The following is a 23975-nucleotide window of genomic DNA, read 5'->3' as shown; positions in this document are numbered from 1 at the left end:
AGATGAAATTTTCCAAATAGTGTATTGGGAAATTTTAGTTTTATAGTTAATTTAAATTATTTAATTTTTAATATAAATATTATTACCTTCTTGACCATAGTTTAAAAATATGACTAATAATTTTTAAATCTAAATGAGAAACATATTTATAAAACATAAAAGACACAGATGGTTAGTACCTAATATAAACTATTATATTAAGAAAATTGGTAGAAAATACTCAAAATTTGAAGAGACAATTCACACACAAACTCACACACACACAATTACAAATGCTTAATAAATATGGAAAGTTTCACAACATCTCTAAAATTTAAGGGGATACAATTTAAATGGTTTGGCACTTTACCACATAAAAATAAATTAAAAATAATATTATTAAAAATGATATCAAGCATTTAATTTCAGCCCTCCACCATGACCAAATTTACATTTCCTGACTTTTTATACAAATGTTGCTATTGTGACCTCTTACAGTATCTAATATAAAATGAGTTCTGTCGAAAGGCATTTAAAATAATCATTTCAGAGGGAAAGCAGAGAAAAAAAATCAAAGGTTAGTATACTAAATTTTGTGGCTATATAATATGTTTAACACAGTAGAATTAAAGTGGCTGAAATAAAACACAAATATCCAAAATAGTGAATGTTGAATGAAGTTGTAAAGTTGCATTATATGTTAAAAAACAGTGAACAATTTGTACAGAGAAGTTATAAGCGTTCTTGATTCTTTTCTTTTGGCTTTTTTCGCTTTGAATTCTGTACTTTTAAGTACAAGCAAAAAACATTTAGTCCGTATATAAGGGAGGCAACAGAGTATAGTGTAATTACAATTGGCTAAGAGTTGAGGCTCCTTTATTGAACTCCAAGAGTTTGAATTCTGGCTTCATTGCTTATTAACGGTGTGACTTTTGGCAAATAATGTAAACTCTTCATGTCAGTTTTCTTATCTGTAAGATGAAAATAATATTATTATAATACCTCACCCAGAAAGTTGTTATAACCACTAAATAAACATAAATTCTAAAAAATGTACTTAGGTTATAGAGAACACTTAAAAATCATTAGCAGCTATTGTAGTGTACAGCATGGTAATTATAGTTAAGAACACTGGATTATTTACTTGAAATTTGATAAGAGGGTAACATTTAGTGTCCCTATCATGTACATACACATACATACACACAGTGGTAACTATGTCTGGTGATGAATGTGTTAATTAATTTGATTGTGGTCATCATTTCACTATGTGTATGCATATCAAATCATCTCCTTGTATGCCTTGAGTATACACAATTTTTATTTGTCAATTTTACCTCGGTGAAGCTGGGGGGGAAAGAAAATAAGATTCTCAAGTTCATTAATAGTTAAGGAAGCAAAAATTTAAAATCACAGTATCGTTTCATATGGATCATGTTGACTAAATATAAGAAGTCAGATATTATCAAGTATTGATGATAATGTGGATCAGTGGTAAGTGCTGGTGGTCATATAAATGAGAAACACTCTTTGGAAAACGGTGACGCATCACCTTACAGGTATAAGAATATTCCTAACAGCATTTCCATAAGAACAAATCTTGCAAGCAGCTCAAATGCCCTTCAACAGTAGAAGAGAATAATTAAGATGTATTCAGACAATGGAATTGTCACAGCAGTGAAAATGAAGGAATTCAGTTCTATGCCTCAATGTAGATGAATCTCAAAAAACATAATACTGAGGAAATGAAGCAAGCACAGACAAATAAATAGAGTATGATTTCATCACGGTAAAGTTCAAAACAGGCCAGGCCATAATAGGTGGTAAAACTATATAGATAATCATAAAAACATAATGAGAAACAGTGTGAAAGGGAGTGCTTTAAGAGACAGGCAAACAGGCATCTAATGTGCTGGTAATGTTCTATTTCATAAACTGCATAGCAGGTACAAGGGAGGGTACTTTATTATTTTTCTTTCAACTTTTTATATAATCCTATACATTTCCTATATGTACAATGTATTTCACAAGTGAAATGTTTAAATAATGAAAAAAAGATCAGCTATGTTTACTATATTTGAAAGCTTATTGCTAACAATTTTTTTGGTTTTTATTTTTAGCTATATCAGAAACTTCTTAAATATGGATTATATTGAAAGTCATATTTTAATACGTTTTTATACTCAAAAAATCTATGTAGTAACGGTATTTTCTTTTTGAACATATAACTGAGCAGAAATAGTTTTGTACATCTTATTGGATGCCTCAAGTTTAGAGAATATGAAATATAAAATATAAAATACTCAAACAGTATGAATTATATACCAAGTATGGTGGTCAGAGAATTTCAGTGGTCTAGGATTTATTACACACATATGCCAGATACCTGGAAATACAAAGAGATTGTGTGAAAATCACTTAGGTTTTGCATTCTGAGTCTGAATTCTCCCTATATTGATCTCTTACATCACTGCTAAGAAAGTGATTATTAATAGCAACTAATTGCCAGGGATATAGTGTGGCATGCAGTGTTTATGAAGGACATACATTGTGTCTTCTTTAATTCTCAGAAAAATCTATTATCTTAATATTTATAATTGTATTTTCCTAAGAAAATGTCACAAAATCTATAAATTTTCTAGGTATGCATCCATATTTATACAGTTTTGCACATAAAATCAGGTTGTTCAAAGACCCCCTGAAAATATACATGAACAACTTAATGCCCTAGGGAAAGACTCAAGCCAAGGAGGTTCTTATTACAATCCTCTAAACATAGTATAACTGTGTGCTTTGAAACTCCAAAATCAATAACTAACTAACAGTAAAAATCATCTAATTAAAATTTTTCTCTAGATAAATGTTCGGCCACTGAAATACTCGTCTCTTAGGATTTACATATTATTCATTTATAAGAGGTGACAAAAACAGAATGGAGCATATATCTTTGGGAAATTACAGTAAAATACCATTTTTAAAATCCTCTTTTCCTTACCTACTTATCTTGGGTTTTGTCTGCCCTTCATGAAATAATTTCCTGAATATTAATTTGTTAGGCATCAAGCACACATACAAAAGAAATAAACAATGGAAGACGTGAATGTATGCAATTGTCATCAAAATTCAAATTTGATCTAAGAAACACTTATGTTACAAGGCAGGTGATGAATTAGAAAGAATGAAATAAATTTTTGTAAGAAAATGCTTACTTCTTTATAGATTTGAAATCTAAAATATTTTTAAGTAAGTGATTTATGCTCTGAAATTTCACAATTTCTAAAATGGTAGATATTTTAAGTTTATATTATGCTGTCCTTTTTAGTCAAAGACAGTATTGAACAAGGAAAATACTTGGCATATTGTTGTTAGAGTGTATCATGTAAGTATGAAAATACAGAGCTGCTTTTTCCATTATTTCAGTGCTTAAAGAAACTGTTTTCTTTTTGTCGTTTTGTTTTCAACAGTGAAAAATAAGTAAGTAGGTATCATCAAATTGCTTCTTATTTCTTAAGAAGAAAACTTTCTGGGTCATATTGCCTAACTTTTTATTTCTGGGCTTTGGGTACAACTTCGGTGAAAGTTGGTGCTGTGTCCAATCAACTGCCCATGTTGTGTATTATAAAGTGACATTATAACATAGATGGGATCATTGGCTTTAACACAAGCTATTGTGAGACGCAGAGTTATGCATTTCAGATATTTGCATTTAGTCAGGGAAGGAGGTACGGGGAGATAGGAAAATATTTATTAAACAACAGGTAAGTTTCATAATTAAAGTTCCGAAGTAAATGTTGCATCAAGATAATGTAGTTACTTTCAGAGGGTTGGATAGAGAATGGAAAAGAAAATTTGTGAATTCCAACAACAAGGAAAACGAAAACCCTGAAAATGTGTATTTTCTCCCATTCTCAGCTTTTTCTTTTATGCCATTGCTTCTATATCTATTGTAACCCACTAGTTACCTCTGTCACTCTTGCACATTCTATAGAGTGCAGTGTTCCCCTGTACTTGAGCTCTCTGCTTCACCTTTTGAAGTCATTTTCTTATCTTCTTTCTGACTCACCTATATAGTCCGTTTCTGACTCTGAACAAATATATCTAATGAAGTAATAACATTTTGTGGCTTTCACATATAACTGGGAAATCAAATCTCATTACTGAGACTGACAAAGGAGCCTCAGACTTTGACTCTGCCTCCCTTTTTACCTTCCTCTTTTCTTGATATTCAGGTCTTTTGTCCAGGTACAAACTGCTTTTTTTCCCAGACCTCAGTTTCTATTTCCAACATCCACCCACACCCCATACTCTCTGCCTCGATCATTTCTTGATTACTGATCATGACATTTCTGCTGCCTGGAATTTGCCTTCTCTCCTGTTCTCTCTTTTGCTCCTGGTGAACAACACATAATCCCAGGTCAGACTTTGATTCCACTTCCTCTTTCTTGGTTTCTCTACTGACTCCAGTTAGAATCACACTTTCACCTCTATGCTTCCCAAGCATTCTGTTATTTATCAAGCTGTCTCCTATGAAGATGAATATGTTTGTCTGTTTTCCCTAATAGACTGAGATTATTGAAATCTGAGGCACTGCTTAATCATGTTTACTTTTCCCGGAACCTATGACAGTGACATGCACTTGTCACTCAATAAATGTTTGGTTAGAATATCTGTAATCTGTTTTGCTGGCTAGTCTTTATCAACTGCCTTGATGATTTACTTTGTCTCTATATTTTGGTCAATTACCTAAAGCTCCTACTCATATCTCGGCTTTCTGCTGATCTGGTTGATCTTTCTCTTTTCCTTTACTCCTTGATCTCTTGCCATTTGACACCGTGACAACTTAATATCCCTCACGGTGCTCTGCCACCTAATGATAATCCACCTTCTGCAGACCCAGTAATTACTGCATAACCCTTTGAAGCTGCCATCCCACTTAACAAATCTTGTTTGTTCCTGCTCCACAGGGCAATATCTTAATCAAATATGGAGGTTACTGTACCCTTTCACAAAAGTCTTTCATTGCTTTTTCATATATTCATATTTTTCTGTACATATTTTCTATTTTATTTTCTCAGAAGAAATACATTCATATCCTAAAATAAGTAAGAGAAAAGTATGTTCATAATTTTTCTTTGATGTGTATTACTATTTATTTTCAAAGGCCTACAGTTAAATTGTAGTCATTCTTGAACTTAGATATCTGCTGTAGACAATTTGGTTGTGGCAAGAACATAAATACGTTGAAATACTGGCTGTTTCCAGCGAAGCAGCATTGTATTGTGGCAATTTAAAGCAAAAGAGAAGCCCTAAAATTGGTTCCAGGGTATGTTTTTAAACTGCTGATTGTTAATATTGGAAAACAATTTTACCATCAAATACCCGTTCCTCACTCCTGTCATGAATATCCATTTGCATTACAATGAAAAATGCTGTTATATGTGACTGGAATATAAGCCTTAATAATGGCTGAGAACTACTATCCTTTGAGCATTAATTATAAAGGTTCACCAGTCAAATAAATAATTATCCATATGGCCAAAGATACATTCACATTGGACACATATTTTCTAGACTTCATGTTTCTTAACTGAGATAGTTAAAACTGAATGTGGTATGAAAAAAGTGTATAATAAATTATAAAATATGTATTGATACATTTAAATAAAGTAAAATTTAAAATCCTAACAAAAAAGGCACCAACTAGTACCACCAACTGAAAAATGCTTTAAACAAAGAAGCTATATATGAAAAACCCCTATATATAAAAAAGAAAAAGGAAAGCATCCCAATAGAAACATGGAAAAATGATATAAATAGGCAGTTTATTGAACAGAATATTTGATGTTTCAAAAAGCACATAAAAATATGTTTAGTGTTTTAGAATTTTAAATATGGAAAATAAAACAAAAATAAGATGCCATCTCATAAACATTCTATTACTTTATGTTTTAACAAATTACCACAAATTTTGCAGCTTCGAACATCCGCTATTTATTATTTCAGTTTCTGTAGATCAGGAATCTGAGCCTGGTGTAGGTGAATTCTCTGCTTAACGTCTCACAAGGTTGAAATCGAAGTGTCTGTGGGTTGTATTCTCATCTGAAAGTTTGACTAGAGAAAGATCCACTTTGGGGGTCCTTCAGGTTGTTGACAGAATGTATTCCCTTGAACCTGTGGAATTCATAGAAGCTTGCTCCTTCAGTGCCAGCAACACACACACACACACACACAAACACACACAGCAGGGGGTTGGGTGGAAGAGAGAGAGAGAGAGAGAGAGAGACAGAGAGAGAGAGATCTTCCTTGCTGCTTCAATTCTCTTACCTCTAGACCTTATTTTTAAAAATTCATCTACTAGATGGAGTTCACCCAGAATAAGCTTCTTTCGATGAACTTAAAGTCAACTGACTAGGAATTTTGATTGCACCTGAGGTTGGACATATAATGTCATCTAATGTAGGGAATGACATCCCATTCATGTTGCCATGTTCTATTGGTCAGGAACATGTTTCAGGTTTTACCCACATGCAAGGGGAGGGGAGCTGAGGTTAGGGGTGACTCATGGGTGCTTACCCTAAGGTGTGTTCCCCATACTCATTTATGGGCAAATACTTAAGAAGCTGACTAAAGTAAGTCCAGTTTGGGAGGAATTTGGCAGCCTATAATAAAGCATACCCTAAAACCCAGTAATACAATGCATAATAATGTGTCCAAGAGAAGTGTGGGTATGTTTTTGCATTATTGGTTTTAATAATGAAAAATTAAAAATAAAGCCTAAATCTTCATTAATAGAATACTAGATGAATAAATTTTATATATATATACACACACACAATGAATACTTTTACTCTACAGCAGTGACATCAATGAGACAGAGCCACGTGCACTAATATGAATACATCTGAAAAACTTGAGTAAAAAATGCAAGTTGCATTAAAAGGCCATCTGATACAAGTTTTATAAAAGTTCAAACATGTAAAATGGTACTATAATGTGTGGATACTATATATATTTCACATTCAGTAAAAGAATAAAAGAAGCATAGAAATAATAAACAGTGGTATTAACATCTGGAATTTAAAAGGTGAGTTTTCTGTGAATGTGGAATAAAATATAGGCTTACCAATTGAAAAAACATCAATCATAGTTGTATACTTTTATTTTTGTATTTCAATGAGAATCTTATTTCAAAGGATAGTTCAGGATCTTTGTGTTTTCTGTTCTACTGAGGTAGTTTTCAAATTTTAATCTGGAATTTTACGACTCTTAGAAATAAGCCTCAGGAGACTAATAAGGAAACATTCATAAGTTGAAAGTGATTCACTTATGGGTTCCTTATAAAAAGTATTCTTAATGCCATTAGACTTATATCTGACTTTTAGATCTGATTTTATCTGTCATTAAACTTGATAGGCATATGTGCTTCAAAATTCAAGTGCACTGTAGAGGTTTAGGAGTATGTTAATTATGTGTGTGTGTGTGTGTGTATATATATATATATACACATTATCTAAATTAGCATATTGTCACTAAATACTACTAGTATTACTAGAAAAGTAGCAATATTTTAATATAGTGTGTCCTACATACTTCATGTTAAAGTTTTATGTTTCTATTATTTATGATAAGTTAATCAGGATAAATATTTTTCAAAGATATATATGAGTTGCTCTTTACAGAAATAGAATTGAAATTATATCAAAAGTCCTATCTAATCCACATCAAATAAGGTGTTAATATTTAGGAATGAAAATGAGGACAAGAAATTAAATATGAAAAGAATCTGGGCTTTCCAAAAACATTATGATCAAAAGAATTTTTGGTAAGTAAAGCAATAACTGAGACTTTCCTTAAAGAACTTACTCACCTATAACCTAGGAAGGCAAAATGCTGAATCAGCATCTGACAAAATGTGTGCATATGCATGGGGGTATGTATGTATTGTGTGTGGGTGTGTGTTTGTGTGTGAATGCACGTGTGCTTATTTGGGTTGGAGGTCAGCTATGTCTGTTGGTCAATGCAAATACAGGTTTATGTAATCAAATTTTCAGTTCTAGATCTTTTTTCTAGTATGTCCTACTATGTTATATGTAGCACATATTTATAATAAATACCTCAAGATTAAAACTATATACCTAAGTAGAAGGGATATATATTTTGTCTCTGAAGGAACCTTGAAGAAGGAATCTGTTAGTTGAAAGTCAATGTCACTGTGTGATTTAGGCTCTCCCTGGATTTCCAAGTGTTGCTAAATTTAGTTCATTCTAACCAGGAGAGGCTGAGGCATGCTATTTCTCTGCTGATCTCCAAACAGCTGCTGCTGTTCACCAATCTTTTTTTGAGATAGACCTAATTTAAAATATTACAACCTCATTTCACACCTTGAATTTGTCTTAAAAAGGAGTAATTTATTTCTAGTAGCTTTTTTTAGAAACCTACATTAGAGCCTTTATAATATGGTTCAGTTTTTTTAGAGTTTCTGTTCATTTGAAGGGTGTCTCTTGGGTTCTCTTGAATGCATTACATCTCATCATGCAATTATTCCAGTTCAGAATTTGTTCATTTTTTTAAATCATTCTTTGGTTTTAAGAGCTATTACGTGTCTATTTCCCTTCATATAGGCCACGTAACACAGAGTAGACCAATTTTATTAATCAATCAGTTATTTTGTAATTCTGTGGATAAACTTCTATAGATTAAAAAGAAAATCATAGCTCGTACTAACAACCCCTCTTTCAGTTCAGTCATCTACTACAGGGGTCCCCAGCCCACAGGCCTCATACCAGTACTTGTCTGTGGCATGTTAGGAACCGGGCTGCACAGCAGGAGGTGAGCAGTGGGCCAGGAAGTGTTACCACCTGAGCTCCGCCTCCTGTTAGATCAGCAGCCGCATTAGATTCTCATAGGAGCACAAACCCTACTGTGAACTGTGTATGTGAAGAATCTAGGTTATGTACTCCTTATGAGAATCTAATGCCTGATGATCTGAGGTGGAACAGTTTCATCCCAAAACCATCTCCCCCACTCCATAACCACCTGCCTCCACCCCTCGTCCATGGAAAAATTGTCTTTCACGAAACCGGTCCCTGGTGCCAAAAAGGTTGGGGACTGCTGATCTACTATAATAAACGTTGTGGCAGGTATTAAGTGTCTTACACAACAGATTTAGTCCTCCTGAGATCATTTATATTATCCTTTTGCTCACCATGAGAATCAGGTATAAAGAATTTAAATATCAAAGTGACAGTTTTAGGCAGATTAAGCTCCAGAGTTACCTTACTGAAATGTCACATGCTAATCAGTTCAGAGTGTATGGCTAAATTATATACGTTTAACTTGGCAAATCGCATATAATCCTATGGGTAATATAAAATTATTAAAAGATGCCAGATGAGGAAATCATATGCAGATAGACTTTTGGAAACAGTATGTTGATCTTACCGCAGATAATGAAATAAAGGGAGCTTACTGCTAATGAGTCAGGCAAGATGTGATAAAGGTGTGAAGTAATTCAATGACCAGAGGGATAAAAGCAAAATATATTTTACTAATAGAATGTCATGTGAGGTTTCTACCAATTACCATTTTATGATAAATTTTTTTTTTTTTTTTTTTTTTTTTTGAGACGGAGTCTCGGTCTGTCGCCCAGGCTGAAGTGCAGTGGCCCAATCTCGGCTCACTGCAAGCTCCGCCTCGTGGGTTCACGCCATTCTCCTGCCTCAGCCTCCCGAGTAGCTGGGACTACAGGCGCCCACCACCACTCCCGGCTAATTTTTTGTTGTTGTTGTTGTATTTTCAGTAGAGACGTGGTTTCACCGTGTTGGCCAGGATGGTCTCGATGTCCTGACCACGTCATCCGCCCACCTCGGCCTCCCAATTACAGGCGTGAGCCACTGTGACCGGCCTGATAAATTTTAAAGAATAATTATATTTCAAAAATGTTTTAAACTCACTTCTAAAAGTGTTTGCAATTTATGGCTTAAACATTCCTAGTCATGTATAATTTTTAAACAAAGCACACTTAATATTCTATCAAGCAGAAAAAGGCAATATTATAGATTTTAGTAGTAGCAACAATACAGAAAACAAGTGAGAAAATGATATTGTAAATGTTTCTTAGTGGTATATTTGGTGAGCCAGTATGTACATGAAAGGTATAAGGCAATGCTTTCAGAAGAAAATAAAAGCATATACAGTCAAAATATGTATTTTTCTATTGGTGACATCTATGCTGTGTAAATTGAGTCCATTTCTCTGTTTTTATACTGTGAATTTACTACAAGCATTATTTGTTTCTCAGTGCAGACATCAAATATCGTTTGGTAAAAAAGTCCCTCGCGTGCTTCAATAGTGATTTTCCTTAGGCAATTTTGTACTCTGTTTTGAGGTTGAATAACAGCATTAGAGTAGATTATTTTCCAGGGATTAAAGGTTTGAAAGATATTAGTTCTTTGCCCGCAATCATCAGTTTCCAGGAAGTGCTCGTTACTGAATTTATAATTTTTTAATTAATAGAAAAAATTGTATAATTGGTTAGCACATGAATTCCTAATTCAATACAAAGTCAGAATATGTATTATATCATAGTGTCCTTGGGAAAGGAGTTTTTCACTGGAAAATTATTTTTGGTAAGTTTCTGTTTTCTTAAGCTGGGGATGGAAAATAAAGATAAATTTATCAATTTGCAATAATCAACATTCTAGGAAATATCTGTTTCTGTTGAAAAAGCCCCAGGTCAGATAGATTGAGAAAGCCATTCAACTGCATTCTTCTTTAATCGGTATTCTATCCTGGCGGGGAAGGAAAGAGTTATCCTTTATTCGTAGTCATTTTTCTCCTCTTCGTTTGGGCTCATATTTGTATTAGGAAAATTTTTATGAAAGACAAAAACAAATATAACAAAAATAACAAAACATGTCCTACAAAATGGATCTTTTCTTTTTCTGGGCTTAGAACCTTTTTCTTTTTCCAGTGTACTATGCTTGATTTCTGTTTTTTTTTTGACTTTCACTATTTTAGCTATTCCTCTTTGCAAAGTCCAAAGCAAGAAGAAAACTTGGATTAAATATTTATATTCAACTACCAAAGCCCTTCCTTATTATTCACTTCAGAGGGAGATGAGAATTGATAAACAATATGCACCTGGCTATATAATGTAAGAATGGTAAATTAAATTAAACACACACACACAAACACACACACACACACACTTCTTTCAGCATATGCTAAAATGTAAAAATGGTAACAATAATAACTTAATAAATTAAGAGTTAAACATACACACACATATACTTCTTTCAGCATATGTTAAAATATAATAATAATAACTGGAATAGTAACAGTATTTTAATTTCATTTTATATGTGTCAAATGTTACCTGAAGTAACTTGTTGTAGTTACTATTGCATAACCAACTACCAATAATTAGTGCTGTAAAATAATCGTTTTACTGTGTTTATAGATTTGGTAGGCCAGGAATTCAGAATGGGCATAGTAGAATTGGCTTGTTTCTGTTCTATGGTATCCTGGTAGCTCAGCTGAGAAAACTTCAAGGTTGGAGAATGGGGCTACTAGGCAGACAGCTTGGGCTGCAATCATCTGAAGGCGTCTTTACTCATGTTTGGGGGTGGAAGCTGGCTTGCTGACTGTGACTTCATCTGGGCTGTTTCCTGTTACACTTATACATGGCTTCTTCAAGTGATCTCTTCACATGAGCTACTTTGAGCATTCTTTGGATATGTTGGCAAGCTTCCAAGAACAAGTATCCCAAGAAAGAAAGGCTGAAGTGTGTGACAATTTATGATGTACATGCAGAGCATCACTTCTGCTATAAGGTATAGCTTCAGAAAGTCACAAAGGTATTAAGTGCAAGGGGAGAAGCCATAGACACCACCTGCTGAAGAAGTATAACAGTGTTCCTGAAGACCATGTGAGATGAAAGGTATCGTATCATCATTCTTGGAAAATAGGATCTATCATAGCATTTTACATTATTTCATATTGAGAAGATTCTATCCCTATGGATAGAATCTATCTTTATTTTCACCTAACCTGCCAGTCTCAATACTAAAAGATATTTTAAAATCATAAGTGAAAAGAAAGAGAATAGAAAATTCACTTGAAGGAACTTTCTTAACAAGAATAAGATAATAAACCAAATTCAAAATCTTAACTTTAAAAACATACACAGTACAAAGCTTGCTATATTTTCCTCTTTTGCATCACCAAAGATTTCCCTTGAATTTTTTCTTTTAGATTTTTTGTGTCAGCAGAGTCCAAAAATAACACAATTATGAATTTTATATTAAGCCACCCACATACTCCTCTAAAAGAGTTTAGATTTCCAATCTTTTCCCCCGTATATGTACTGTATATATGTCCAATTTCAATTCTACTAATAAAAGCAATTCTACTTGTAAAAGCAAAGAGAAAATAACCATTATTGAGAGTCTCTTATTTGTTATGTACTGTGCACATGCTATTTCTTTAAATGCTAATGCTCTGTGAAGTGGGAGATATTATCTACTTTTCATGAGAAAGGAAAGTGAGGCTCAGATAGATTTAATGATTCACTACACAGTGAAGACACATAGCTCAGAAACTGAATGAGGATGCAGGTCTATCTAACTCAAATGTGTAAGAATATGATTATTTGTCCTTTAGATTCCTTAGTCTATAAATTAATAATTAAGAGGAAGCTGATTGTTGTAGCTCTAAGTTAATGAATAGTAATATGCAATTGGCTTTTAACTCTGCTGTTTTTACTATGTCTTTAGTGAGATCACTTCACCACATTTTTAGGTAATTTTTTCATATATTCACACTGTTATTTCCCTCTTCCCCCATCATTTCCTCCTAACTCAACTCTCAGTTCATCACTAAGACTTATACATCATTGAGAAAACAGAAGTAATCAACCAGACATCCTCCATTTCCTAAACACTAAATCCACAAAACTACTTGCATCTGTATCCATCCTTAAGATTAATTTTGGCCCTCACAGACTTTCTGGGACTTATCTCTCCCTCTTTTCTAAGGAGTTTAAAACACTACTCAGCTTCTCTCTCCTGAAGTTTGAACCAGTCTCACTAATAAACTCTTCTCATTAACTTTAAAATCGATTCCAGTAATTTCTACAAGAAAAAAAAAGTCTCTCGATTTCATATTTTTTCTCTGGATAACTACTTCTGTCTCTCTGCTTCTCACAATCATACTCTCCAAGGGTTGATGAGTCAGTCTTCACTTCCTGTACTCAGTTTCATCATGCCACCTTTACTATCTAACTTGCCCAGCTTCAAAGAAATTGCTATTGCTAAAGTCACCAGTGGCCACCATGTTGCCAATGGATGCTTCAATTGTCATTTAATTGCTCAGAAACTTTTGAAAAGTGTCTTCTAGTCTCTCCTTGAGGGATTCTTTTCTTTCTCTTCTGTTGTCTTTTTTGACACCATATTCTTTCACTTGTTTTTAGGGGATGGGTTGAGGTAGGATAAAGTGGGGGAGGCTTTTTCCACCTCTAATCTCTAAATATAAGAACTCGTCTCCTCAGAGCTTTGTTCTGTGTCTCCTTCTTCCACTACACTCTTGCCCCATATGTGATGGATAGTGTCTATTTTTCCCCTTTAGATCCTCCCTTTATCCTTGTCTTGAGGCTCTGTGCCTCTTGAGATTGTTTGAAATTGGTGAGACTGATCAGTGGTGGTCTGTGTCCTCTGGCTTATGGTGAGGTTTGGTCAGTGTGAGGCACTGGAGGAGAATGGAGATTTGGAGGATAACATTAGGTAATTTATTACTCCACCTCATGCCCAGCTAGGTCATCCAAAAAGAAATGTGTCCTGTTATCAAAGGAAATGACTCCTGTCTCAGTCCGTTTTGTGCTGCTCTTAACAGAATTACTGATACTGGGTAATTTATAATAAAGAGAAATTTATTTTATAACAGTATTGGAGGCTGGGAAATCCAAGATCTAGGTGCCAGCATCTGGTGAGGGCCTTCTTGCTGCATTGTCACATGGTGGAAGATGGAAGGGCAAAGGGGCAAAGGAGGCTGAACTTGCCCTTTTATAAAGGCATTAATCCCATCTAGAAGGGTGAAACCGTCCTGGCCTAAATACCCCTCAAAGGTCCCACTTGATAATATTGTTACAATGGCAATTAAATTTCAGCAGCAGTGAGGGGGACAAATATTCAAATTATAGCTACTCCTATCAGATGACCCTCTATATACAGCTACTCTGGGGTTTGTTAGCTAAAACATCCTTAGTCCCTTCAGGATGTTCAATAAGTTGCCTACTATTGCTAGTTCAGGATACTGCATTAGTCTCCAATAGCTTTCCTTACCTGTCCACATTTCCTAAATAATCTTTTCATTAAACTCTTAATTATCAATTTTAAGTGTGCCATCTGTTTCCTACTGGGATCCTGACATGTGGGATTCTTCACTAGGAAACAAACACCAATATGGAGATAGGGATGCAAACACATATCAGATAATTATTCCTATGAAACACAAAAAGGGGAAAAAAGCAAGCAGAATTGGGCAAGGAAAGCTTTCAGATTGTAATACAAAACTGATGCTTTTGAAAAGAGAAGGGGATATGCAGGGTTGGTCAGAAATAGCCTCAGACCACAGTGCAGACCTGATAAATTCTCAACCAGCCCATTGGGGAGCTCTGGAACAAATATGGACCATTTAAGGGGTCTCCATTGTACAGAAATATCATGGTCCTAATACATCCATCATCTTTTTGTTATTGATTCTTGTCTGGGAAAAGTGTGACCTCAGTTCAAAACCTAAGTTGACTTCTGAAGACAAGAAGAAGTACAGGCTCTAAGAAGTACAGACTGCTAATTGCAGTCTTTGCCCTGAATGGCAAGTTCTATTTTGAAGCAGAGCTTAGGGGAATAGCTTTTTGTCACCACATCAGGCAAACAGCCATTCCCAATTCTTGAAATATCATCTATATAGAAAACTGATAATATTATACCTCTTATCTCTTATCTTAGCTCTAAGCTTAACTCAAAATCTACTAGTACATTCAATTCAGATATATGATAATCATCTCAACTTAATACATCCCAAAACAACATAGTGATTTTTCTGTTCTCATCAATCCTGGTTCTATTCTAGTATTTGGAAATTGTTTAAATTCTACCTTTCCATTTCCTGCACTCAAGCCAAAATACAGGAGTCATTCTTGATCCCCTCTTTCTGCACAGAACTTATCCTATTCATTTTCAAGTCCTACTTCAAAAATATGTCTTGAGTTCAGTTTTCAACCTTGATCTTTATTGCCATTCCCTAAAGCCACCAGCTCTCACACAATATTGGAACAGCCTCTTAATTGGTCTTCCCCCTTCCATTCTTGTCCTATTCATATCCACTGATTAAAGTGGACTTCTTAAAATATAAATCAGTCATGTTAATCTCCTGCACAAAAATATTTCAATGGTTTCATAATTTACTTATGACAAATTGTACTGTCCTTAACATGGCCTCTAATAATCTCAATTATGTAGCTCTTTTTAATTTTTCCAGTCTAATCATGTGCTCCTTTACTTCTTGCTTACCAGGATCCAGTCATAACTGACTTCTTTTGAGATTTTATAATATTTGTAGTTTTTTTCTTTACTTCTAAGTTTCTGCTCAGGATGTTTTTAATCTTCATTCAAGTTTAAAATTATTTAACTTTTGTCAGTTAGTTTAAATAAACCTGGCTTTCTGAATTGCTCTCTGAATCTCTTAAATGAAATCAGGACTTCCTGTTGTAGTTTTATAGACTTTGTTGCCTTTTTTCATATAACTTATCACAGTTTGCATTTATTTATGGGTGTAGTTGGTTTAGTTATTGTAGCTCTTTCCCCCTAAACACAATTTAATAGCTCACGTATCATATCTGTTTAGCATAACACTACATCCCCAGTGTCTGGCATGATGCCTTGCATCTCATTCATTGGGTCTCAAATTTAGACTTCTTTTTATGGTTAAATGAACAAGCAATTATAAACCAACCTATAGAATTTATATTCCATGTAATTTCATCCTACTTCTTCAGCAATTCTGTAGTTTTTATTTTGGCTCTGCATCCTTTCCCATCCCTAGGATTTTTTTCTGTTGGAAATCTTACAGTTTGGAGTTTATGACCTTTGAGACCCAGTATACGTATATTCTTCAGTATGTCTTTTTTTTTTTTTTTTTTTGAGACGGAGTCTCGCTCTGTCGCCCAGGCTGGAGTGCAGTGGCGCCATCTCGGCTCACTGCAAGCTCCGCCTCCTGGGTTCACGCCATTCTCCTGCCTCAGCCTCCCGAGTAGCTGGGACTACAGGTGCCCACCACCACGCTCTGTTAATTTTTTTGTATTTTTAGTAGAGACGGGGTTTCACCGTGTTAGCCAGGATGGTCTCGATCTCCTGACCTCGTGATCCGCCCGCCTCGGCCTCCCAAAGTCCTGGGATTACAGGCATGAGCCACCGCGCCCGGCCCAGTATGTCTTAATGTTTATTAACTTCTCTTCAATTATTGAAGTCATGAAATACTGACTTCTAATAATTACTTATAAATCTACACTTAATGTGACTCACAGATGATGCGTCCAACCCAATAGATTGACTCATCTAGATATTGCCGAATGGCGTCTTCACGAGTAGGTTGATTTCTCGCCTAATTATAGGGATTGTGCTTTAGCCCAGGTACAGTGGCCCAAAGAGCTTTCTTCAACTCTTCCAACGTAGTTATTTCCTGCTACAAACTAAGCAAAGTGGCACATCCACTGACTAGAAGAGAAAGCCAGAATTAGACTGCTTGCTAAAAGCCAGCAAAGTGGATCCCTCCTGACACTCATTTTATGTGCCTAAAGAAAGACTTCTGCAGGGGAACAGGAAACTTGTGAATGCACCGCAGGGAATCTCAGCTGAATATTGTCACATTCTTTCTACCCATTTATGAAGAGGCGGGGACTATAAGAATGTGCTGCCATCATTTTCATTACCTTCTGAGGCATGAGATATAGCTGTGCCTCTGTATTTGAAATTACACGTGAAACATTTCTTTTTTCATAGGCTTGTGTATGCCAGTTCAGCTAGTAAAAAGATTTGACTAAGAAAAAATTCCTCACTTGTAACCAACCCTTATTTTTACTATTTAGCTACATGTCATATCACGTGATGAGGGTTAGAACTATGAGAATTATGAGAAACCAATGGCTTACACTAGAAGAAAGGTGAGAAAGAGAGGATTTATTCAAAGCATTTTGGTATTGGAATAAACCAAATCCAACAGCCAAAGTAAATTTACTTTGAGCCACTCAGAGATACCATTATTTTGTAAATATCACTTGTCAAAATGCAAATAGGGGTAGATCAATCCAGAGAAGCTGTCCTTGTTATAAAAAGTGAAGACCTAAGTTGACCAGGTCATGCTAAATCAAAGAAAGTTAAGTGGTGTTTTTGTTAGATATTGATAAATAAAAATATACTTGGTGGTCATGTGTAAGTGTTGTTATGGTAAATTGGTTAGCTGACATCACAAGGCATCCCTTGGGAATGATGCTTATTTATATGGAGTTAGTTTTACTTAAAAAATTCACAAAATGTGTGAAATAATGCCACCCATTTTCAACTGTAAAAGCTTTGTACCTGAAAGTGCACTTCTTTTTTTTTTTTTAATGCCCATTCAGTTGAAGAAAATGGATGTAGTCCCTAGGAAAACTGAAACCCAGAGTGACTTCTGTTCTTGTCTCCTTTATGCACTATTTTCTCTTTCTCAACCTCAGGGCCTCCTTCTAATTAATTCTTCCACTCAACCTTTTCTTTATGAACAAAAAGGAAATAAGTGAATTCATTCAAGAAATATTCATTGACCTGAGACTATATACCAAGCACTCTTCTAAGCACTGGGAAAACAGCAGTGAACAAATGAACAAAAATTCCTGCCCTCCATGGGGCTTACATCGTGGAGTGTAGCGCAGGATGGTGATGCAGAATCTAATATATAGGTTGGATGAAAATCAAGGGCAAACCTAGTACTTTTAGGTGTTTTGTCCTTTTTGTGAAATTCCATCAGGGCTCAAAACAACTTATATTTCCCCTAATTGTAGTGTGTGGAGACAAATGTTAAATAATATAAATAAATGAAGTATTTGATGTTAAAATGTTATATTCAAAACAAATGTAAAAAATGAATGAAGGGATGGTCTGTATGAGTGTGCAATTTTAAATTCAATAACCAGGTGAGCCTTGATACATGGTTAGCATTCCTGTACAGATCTAAGGATGGCAGTTCACCAGTCATTTTAAATTTGAATTTCTCATAATGAACTGGGGGATATTTTTCTTCCTTTTTTTCTTTCTTTCTTTTTTTTTTTTTTTTTTTTTTTTTTTTTTTTTGACACAGGGCCTTGCTCTGTCACTGAGGATGGAGTACAGTGGTGCAATCAAAGCCCACTGCAACCTCTACCTCCTGGGCCCATGCAATCCTCCCACCTCAGCCTCCTGAGTAGCTGGGACTACAGGCACATGCTACCATGCCCAGCTAATTTTTGTATTTTTGGTAGAGACAGGGTTTCTCCATGTTGCCCAGGCTGGTCTAGAACTCCTGAGCTCAAGTGATCCACCCACCTTGGCCTCCCAAAGTGCTGGGATTACAGGCTTGAGCCACCGTGCCCAGCTGGGGGATTTTAATTAATTTCAGAGCAGGTAGGCAGGTGGAAAGATATAATTAAGATAATTATTACAATTATAACTTATTAATTAACTTGTTGTTGGTAATTTGTCAGACAGGCCTCAGGAATCATCCTAGTTCATGACCATCCAAGGACACCAAGGGGGTTTGGGAAATGGCCATGTTAAGAAAGGGAGAGAGCTCAGGGAGCGAGTTAAGAAGCTATCACAACAATGCAAGTGAGAGAGAAAGGAACTCAATGAAGATACTGACATTTCAGAAATGTAAGAGTGATCAGGTTTCTGGGTTTTTTTGTAGTCCTTTTGTTGTATCTTATTTCCCTGAGGATAATGCCCAAGCCTCTTTATTTAGTATTGAAATCCCTTCAAAAACAACCTATTGCTGTGTGCTCCAATCACCTATATTTACAAAAACAGGTGGTGGACCAAATTTGTTCCCTGATTAGTTATTTGCTTACCCCTGTCTAGTTTATGTGGGCTTCCTATCCCTAACACATAGCCTCCATATTAAAGTTGTCTATTTAGTACAAGAAACTTCTGGGTTTGCAGCCAACATGTCACCATTTCAGGTGGTAAGGTGGAGGAAAAGAATAAAAGGTTGAAAGGGCACTTGCCAGCAACTATTTCCTCTAATAGAACTTTTCTATATGCTTCACCAACATCTACTTACATCTCATTGGCCACTTCTTCATGTAAGAAATCTAGGGAATGCAGTCATTTAAACAGATTTATTTTCACTATCTTTCTTGTTACCAAGTAAGCAAAAGAGAATGGATACTGGGTGGGCTTGGAGCAGTCTGTGCTACACCTACCAGATTCAGTCACCAGTGTCACTTTCTCTATTTGTCAAAAGGGGAGACTATTAGCACCTACCTCACAGAGTTGCTTTCTGAAGATTGAATGACCTAATACAGTCATGTGATTAGGAGACTGCCTTTCGTGTAACTGTAAGCTCTCAATAAAGCTGACACATTGTTGGAATAGCATTATTTTCATCTTTTTATGTTTTGATCTTTGCTCTAGCTTCATTGCCTAGAAAGCTTTCTGGCAGACAGCAAGGCTCAACAAATATTTGAATAAACAAATAAACCGTTGTTATTACCAGTTAAGATTTTTGCCTTGTTGGCAATTAAAAACTTATTCTGGCTCACTTAATCCTTGACTTTAAAAAAAGTTATTGGCTGGGCGCGGTGGCTCACGCCTGTAATCCCAGCACTTTGGGAGGCCGAGGCGGGTGGATCATGAGGTCAGGAGATCGAGACCATCCTGGCTAACAAGGTGAAACCCCGTCTCTACTAAAAATACAAAAAATTAGCCGGGCGCGGTGGCGGGCGCCTGTAGTCCCAGCTACTCGGGAGGCTGAGGCAGGAGAATGGCGTGAACCCGGGAAGCGGAGCTTGCAGTGAGCCGAGATTGCGCCACTGCAGTCCGCAGTCCGGCCTGGGCGACAGAGCGAGACTCCGTCTCAAAAAAAAAAAAAAAAAAAAAAAAAAAAAAGTTATTAAAATTTAATTAACAAATAATAATTGTATGTATTTATAGGGTGCAGTGTGATGTCTTGGTATATGTATACATTTAATCCTTTTTTTTTTTTTTAAGACAGAATCTTGCTCTGTTGCCCAGGCTGGAGTACAGCAGCATAATCACAGCTCACTGCAGCCTCAGCCTCCTGGGCTCCAGTGATTCTCCCACCTCAGCTCCCCCACTATTCCCCCTGAGTAGCTGAGACCACAGATGTGCACCACTACATCCAACTAATGTTTTTTTTGTAGAGATGGGGTCTCGTTATGTTGTCCAGGCTGGTCTCAAACACCTGGGCTCATTCCATCCTCCTGCCTCAGCCTCCCAGTGTGCTGGGATTATAGGCATTAGCCACCTGCCTGGCCTTAATCCTTTATTAAAAGAATATCACAAGCTTCTGGAAGTGACAAGATAGCTGGAGAGTCAGGTTTAGACAGGAATGAGTATCCAATTATTTCTGTTATGATTTAGGTACAGCTGTTTTCACCCTGTCATTGAATCACTCCACTCAACATTTAAAGCCCTGGGAGACAGGTGTGTAATGTGCCAATGTGACAGAATCATCTGTCTCCCTTTGGTTAGAGGAGGACAGAACACATCATTTCACAGTCCCACCAAAACTGCCTGTAACCAGAGAGAGACAGACAGTTAGGATGAAATTAGTGTGAAAGATGAAATCAGCAGAAGGAAACTGGGTGGAAGATGTCCACAATTGTCATTGCATATTCCCATTCTCTTTCACTTGTGTTGCTTCCCCAAACCCATGGTTGCCCTTGGGAGAGAAAAGAGAAAAGATATCCAGCAGTTTGGTCTCTGTGAGCACATCAATATCATCATTTCCCCATTGTATATTAAACTACCATATTGTAAAACAGAGTACAGGGACGTGACCCCACGAGACCAAAAAGAACAGTTTTTAAAGACAAGGATGACAGGATTTGACAGTGAGGTCCTGGGGTTGATATTGGAAGACAGTAAAGAGATGTTGAAGAAAGGCAAGGCACTAAGACCAAATGAGTCTTGTCTGTAGAAGTAAGGTGACTTTAAGTAATGACATCTGTATAAATAAACCTTGCAATGATTACAATTTTACAAAAAAGTAACTCTTACTAAATACTTCATTTTCTGTAAAGAATACAGTGCCAATCTGGCTGATTATTGAGCAATTGATTATAGTCTCTGATAAAAATGTTGAAACCAGATGGTTTTTCATTTTGTTTGCCTTTACAGATATAGCCAGTGAATGTAGGTCCATGACAACCTAGAGATTTATTTTAAAGCGTGATTCACAATAGAATCATCTACTGTCATTACACAAGTCTTTCAGACATTTGGAATTGCTTTAATTTGGCCAATCTTTTGAATTTTTTTAAATCATAAAACTAAAACTTAATCTTTATTTGATTGCTAGAACAAATTATATGACTTCTCCAAAATTAATTCATATGATTGGAAATATATATGCTAGTGCTGATGAACATTCCAAGCAATTATTGGCAGTCTATACTGTAAACTAGCAAATCATATGTATAGGGAGCTAGAGAGCTTATTTTAGCCTCCTTGGATAATTTAGGTCTAGATTTTATATGTAATGTTTACATATTAAAAAATTGGTACAGACTGATAAAAATGATACCACTGTCTACTCGTGGAATGTGGAGTTTGTAAAACTAGACATAAAAATGTACATTTATGAAAATGTGCTTTATAAGATTCTTCTCACAATTTGTACTCTTAATTTATATGATTTAAAAAGTATTTAACATTCAACACCTTGACATTTTTTTCCTTTGTGCAATCATGTTAATCTTTTGATCTTGATCTGTTTTTTTTTTTTGCAGTTCTTTAACACATTATTGAAATTACAAGCATCCAAAGCAGTTTCATGTGGACAGATTGCATATTTTGAAAGCCTGAGGTATTTTATCATGAAACATGCCATGTGGAATCTTTGAAGCATAGACCTCTGCGCAACACCTGAATAAAGAATCTTTTACCTGGTATGTGACAGAGCTTCTCACCACCACCATGACAAACCAGGAAAAATGGGCCCACCTCAGCCCTTCGGAATTTTCCCAACTTCAGAAATATGCTGAGTGTAAGTATTCATATTGATATTATGAGATTATTTGACATTTGTGCTAGACAAAGTATCATTTATTTATAAGAATGGATCATAGATCCTGTTCTTCATGGGGATAGATCCAGCTCTGCCTTTTGTGTTTACAAGTCAGGTTGACTTGAGACTACCTTTTTGACACAAGAGAAAGGAAAAGGTAAATTAAATCAAGTATTACATCTTGAAGGAAAGGAACTAAAATGTTAGGTGCACAATTAGGCTTGGAAAACACTCTAGCTGTAATAGAAATAAAGCAGAGGATGAGACAGCCTGGCAAAATGGAGAGTGGTAATACTGTAACAGACAGGGAGAAGGACAAACGGGCGCAGAGAGTGAGAAGGAAGGAAAAAGAGGAGAAAAAAGCAATGCTGTGCTTGAGACAGTATGGTCTGACTCATAGATATCAAGAGGGAGGGAAAAGGGAGAGGTGTGTGTGTGTGTGTGTGTGTGTGTGTGTGTGTGTGTGTGTGTGTTAAAAGAGAGTAGGAAGCAGGGAGTCATAGATACATTATGGAATTAGAATCAGAGGTTGTAAAAGAAAGAGGTGTCAGGACCTCAAGTTAGGACCGCACAACTCTTTTAGTGTGTGCATTGATACAAGTGATAGGCTATGATCATTCACTTCACTGTAAGTTTTAAAAAGAAAATATTGTTTCTTTGCATATGTAGAGTAAGATTTTATTTATAAGAAATTTGTTTTTATTCTAGATTTTCAGGAATATGTCTATTTCATAAAGTGACTTTCAACTATAAATATGAACAGCAGTTGGGTCAGGTGTTGAAGAGAGAAAAAGAAACAACTAATTAATAGCAGGCACCAAAAGACTTGGAAAATGATGAGTACAGAAAAAGCAATATATAGAGAATGCAATAAGAATGATAAGAATGGAAAGAATAACATGGTGACAGGGAGAATAAAATGCAAGAAGTGGAAAGGAGAAAAAGAACCAAACAGCACGTGATAGTGAACGAGGTAAAAATTAAGGCATCTGGTCAACTTATGCAGAAAGATGTTGTGGGATATAAGAGATGTGTATCAGGAATTAGTTGGATGATATTATAAAGTAGAAGCAGAGAAAAGGGTTAAACACATATAGGGACTTAGAACATGAAGATAGATGTGATGGTAATAGCGAATACTATCACTCACATTAATTATAGAGTACATATTATGAGCCAGGAACACTAATAAATGCTTCATGTATATTATCTGAAAAGACCAGTTTCAAAGGTATTCTAGAAGCTTCCTAGTCTGTGGATTGAATGAGGGTATGAGAATGCTGCTGGGTATTTGTAAGGAAGTTCCAAATCTATAATTTCATAGGCATTTTAAAAAACTAAAAAAAGTCTATGACTATTGACTGAGTCAATAATAATAAAAATATGATTACAAAATATATGATATTTGGAAATTTTGACATAACTTATGGTTCTCACACTCAAAACTGTGTAGAGCCTCTGAATGTACAATATATGCATTTATCATATTACGAATATTTACATTTAGGTTTTGGAGGTGTAGGCAGAAGGATTGCTTGAGCCCAGCAGTTCATGACTAGACTGGGCAAAACAGTGAGACCCTGTCTCTATGGAAAAAAAAAAAATTAGCCCAGCAGGCTGGCATGCACATGTAGTCCCAGCTACTTGGCAGGCTGAGGTGAGAGGATTGCTGGAGCCCA

General features: G+C 35.6%; 1 protein-coding gene across 25 annotated transcripts in view; it reads left to right on the top strand.

Moving 5' to 3' along the window:
• DGKB (diacylglycerol kinase beta) overlaps window positions 1-23975 on the top strand; it is an 829810-nt gene that overhangs the window by 111390 nt on the left and 694445 nt on the right. For all 25 annotated transcript variants that reach the window (XR_001744571.2, NM_001350722.2, NM_001350711.2 and 22 more), the window contains one exon: window positions 22019-22275. Coding sequence is in view for 21 of the 25 variants with exons in the window: in NM_001350711.2 (NP_001337640.1) it covers window positions 22206-22275 (70 nt within the window). In the remaining 4 variants the exon portion in view is untranslated. Of the gene's footprint in view, window positions 1-22018; window positions 22276-23975 lie in introns of those variants that run through there.

The sequence above is a fragment of the Homo sapiens genome, chromosome 7 (assembly GCF_000001405.40).
Source record: "Homo sapiens chromosome 7, GRCh38.p14 Primary Assembly".
NCBI lineage: Eukaryota > Metazoa > Chordata > Mammalia > Primates > Hominidae > Homo > Homo sapiens.
Note: the sequence above shows the minus strand (reverse complement) of the source record. Positions and strands in the feature narration are given on the sequence as shown.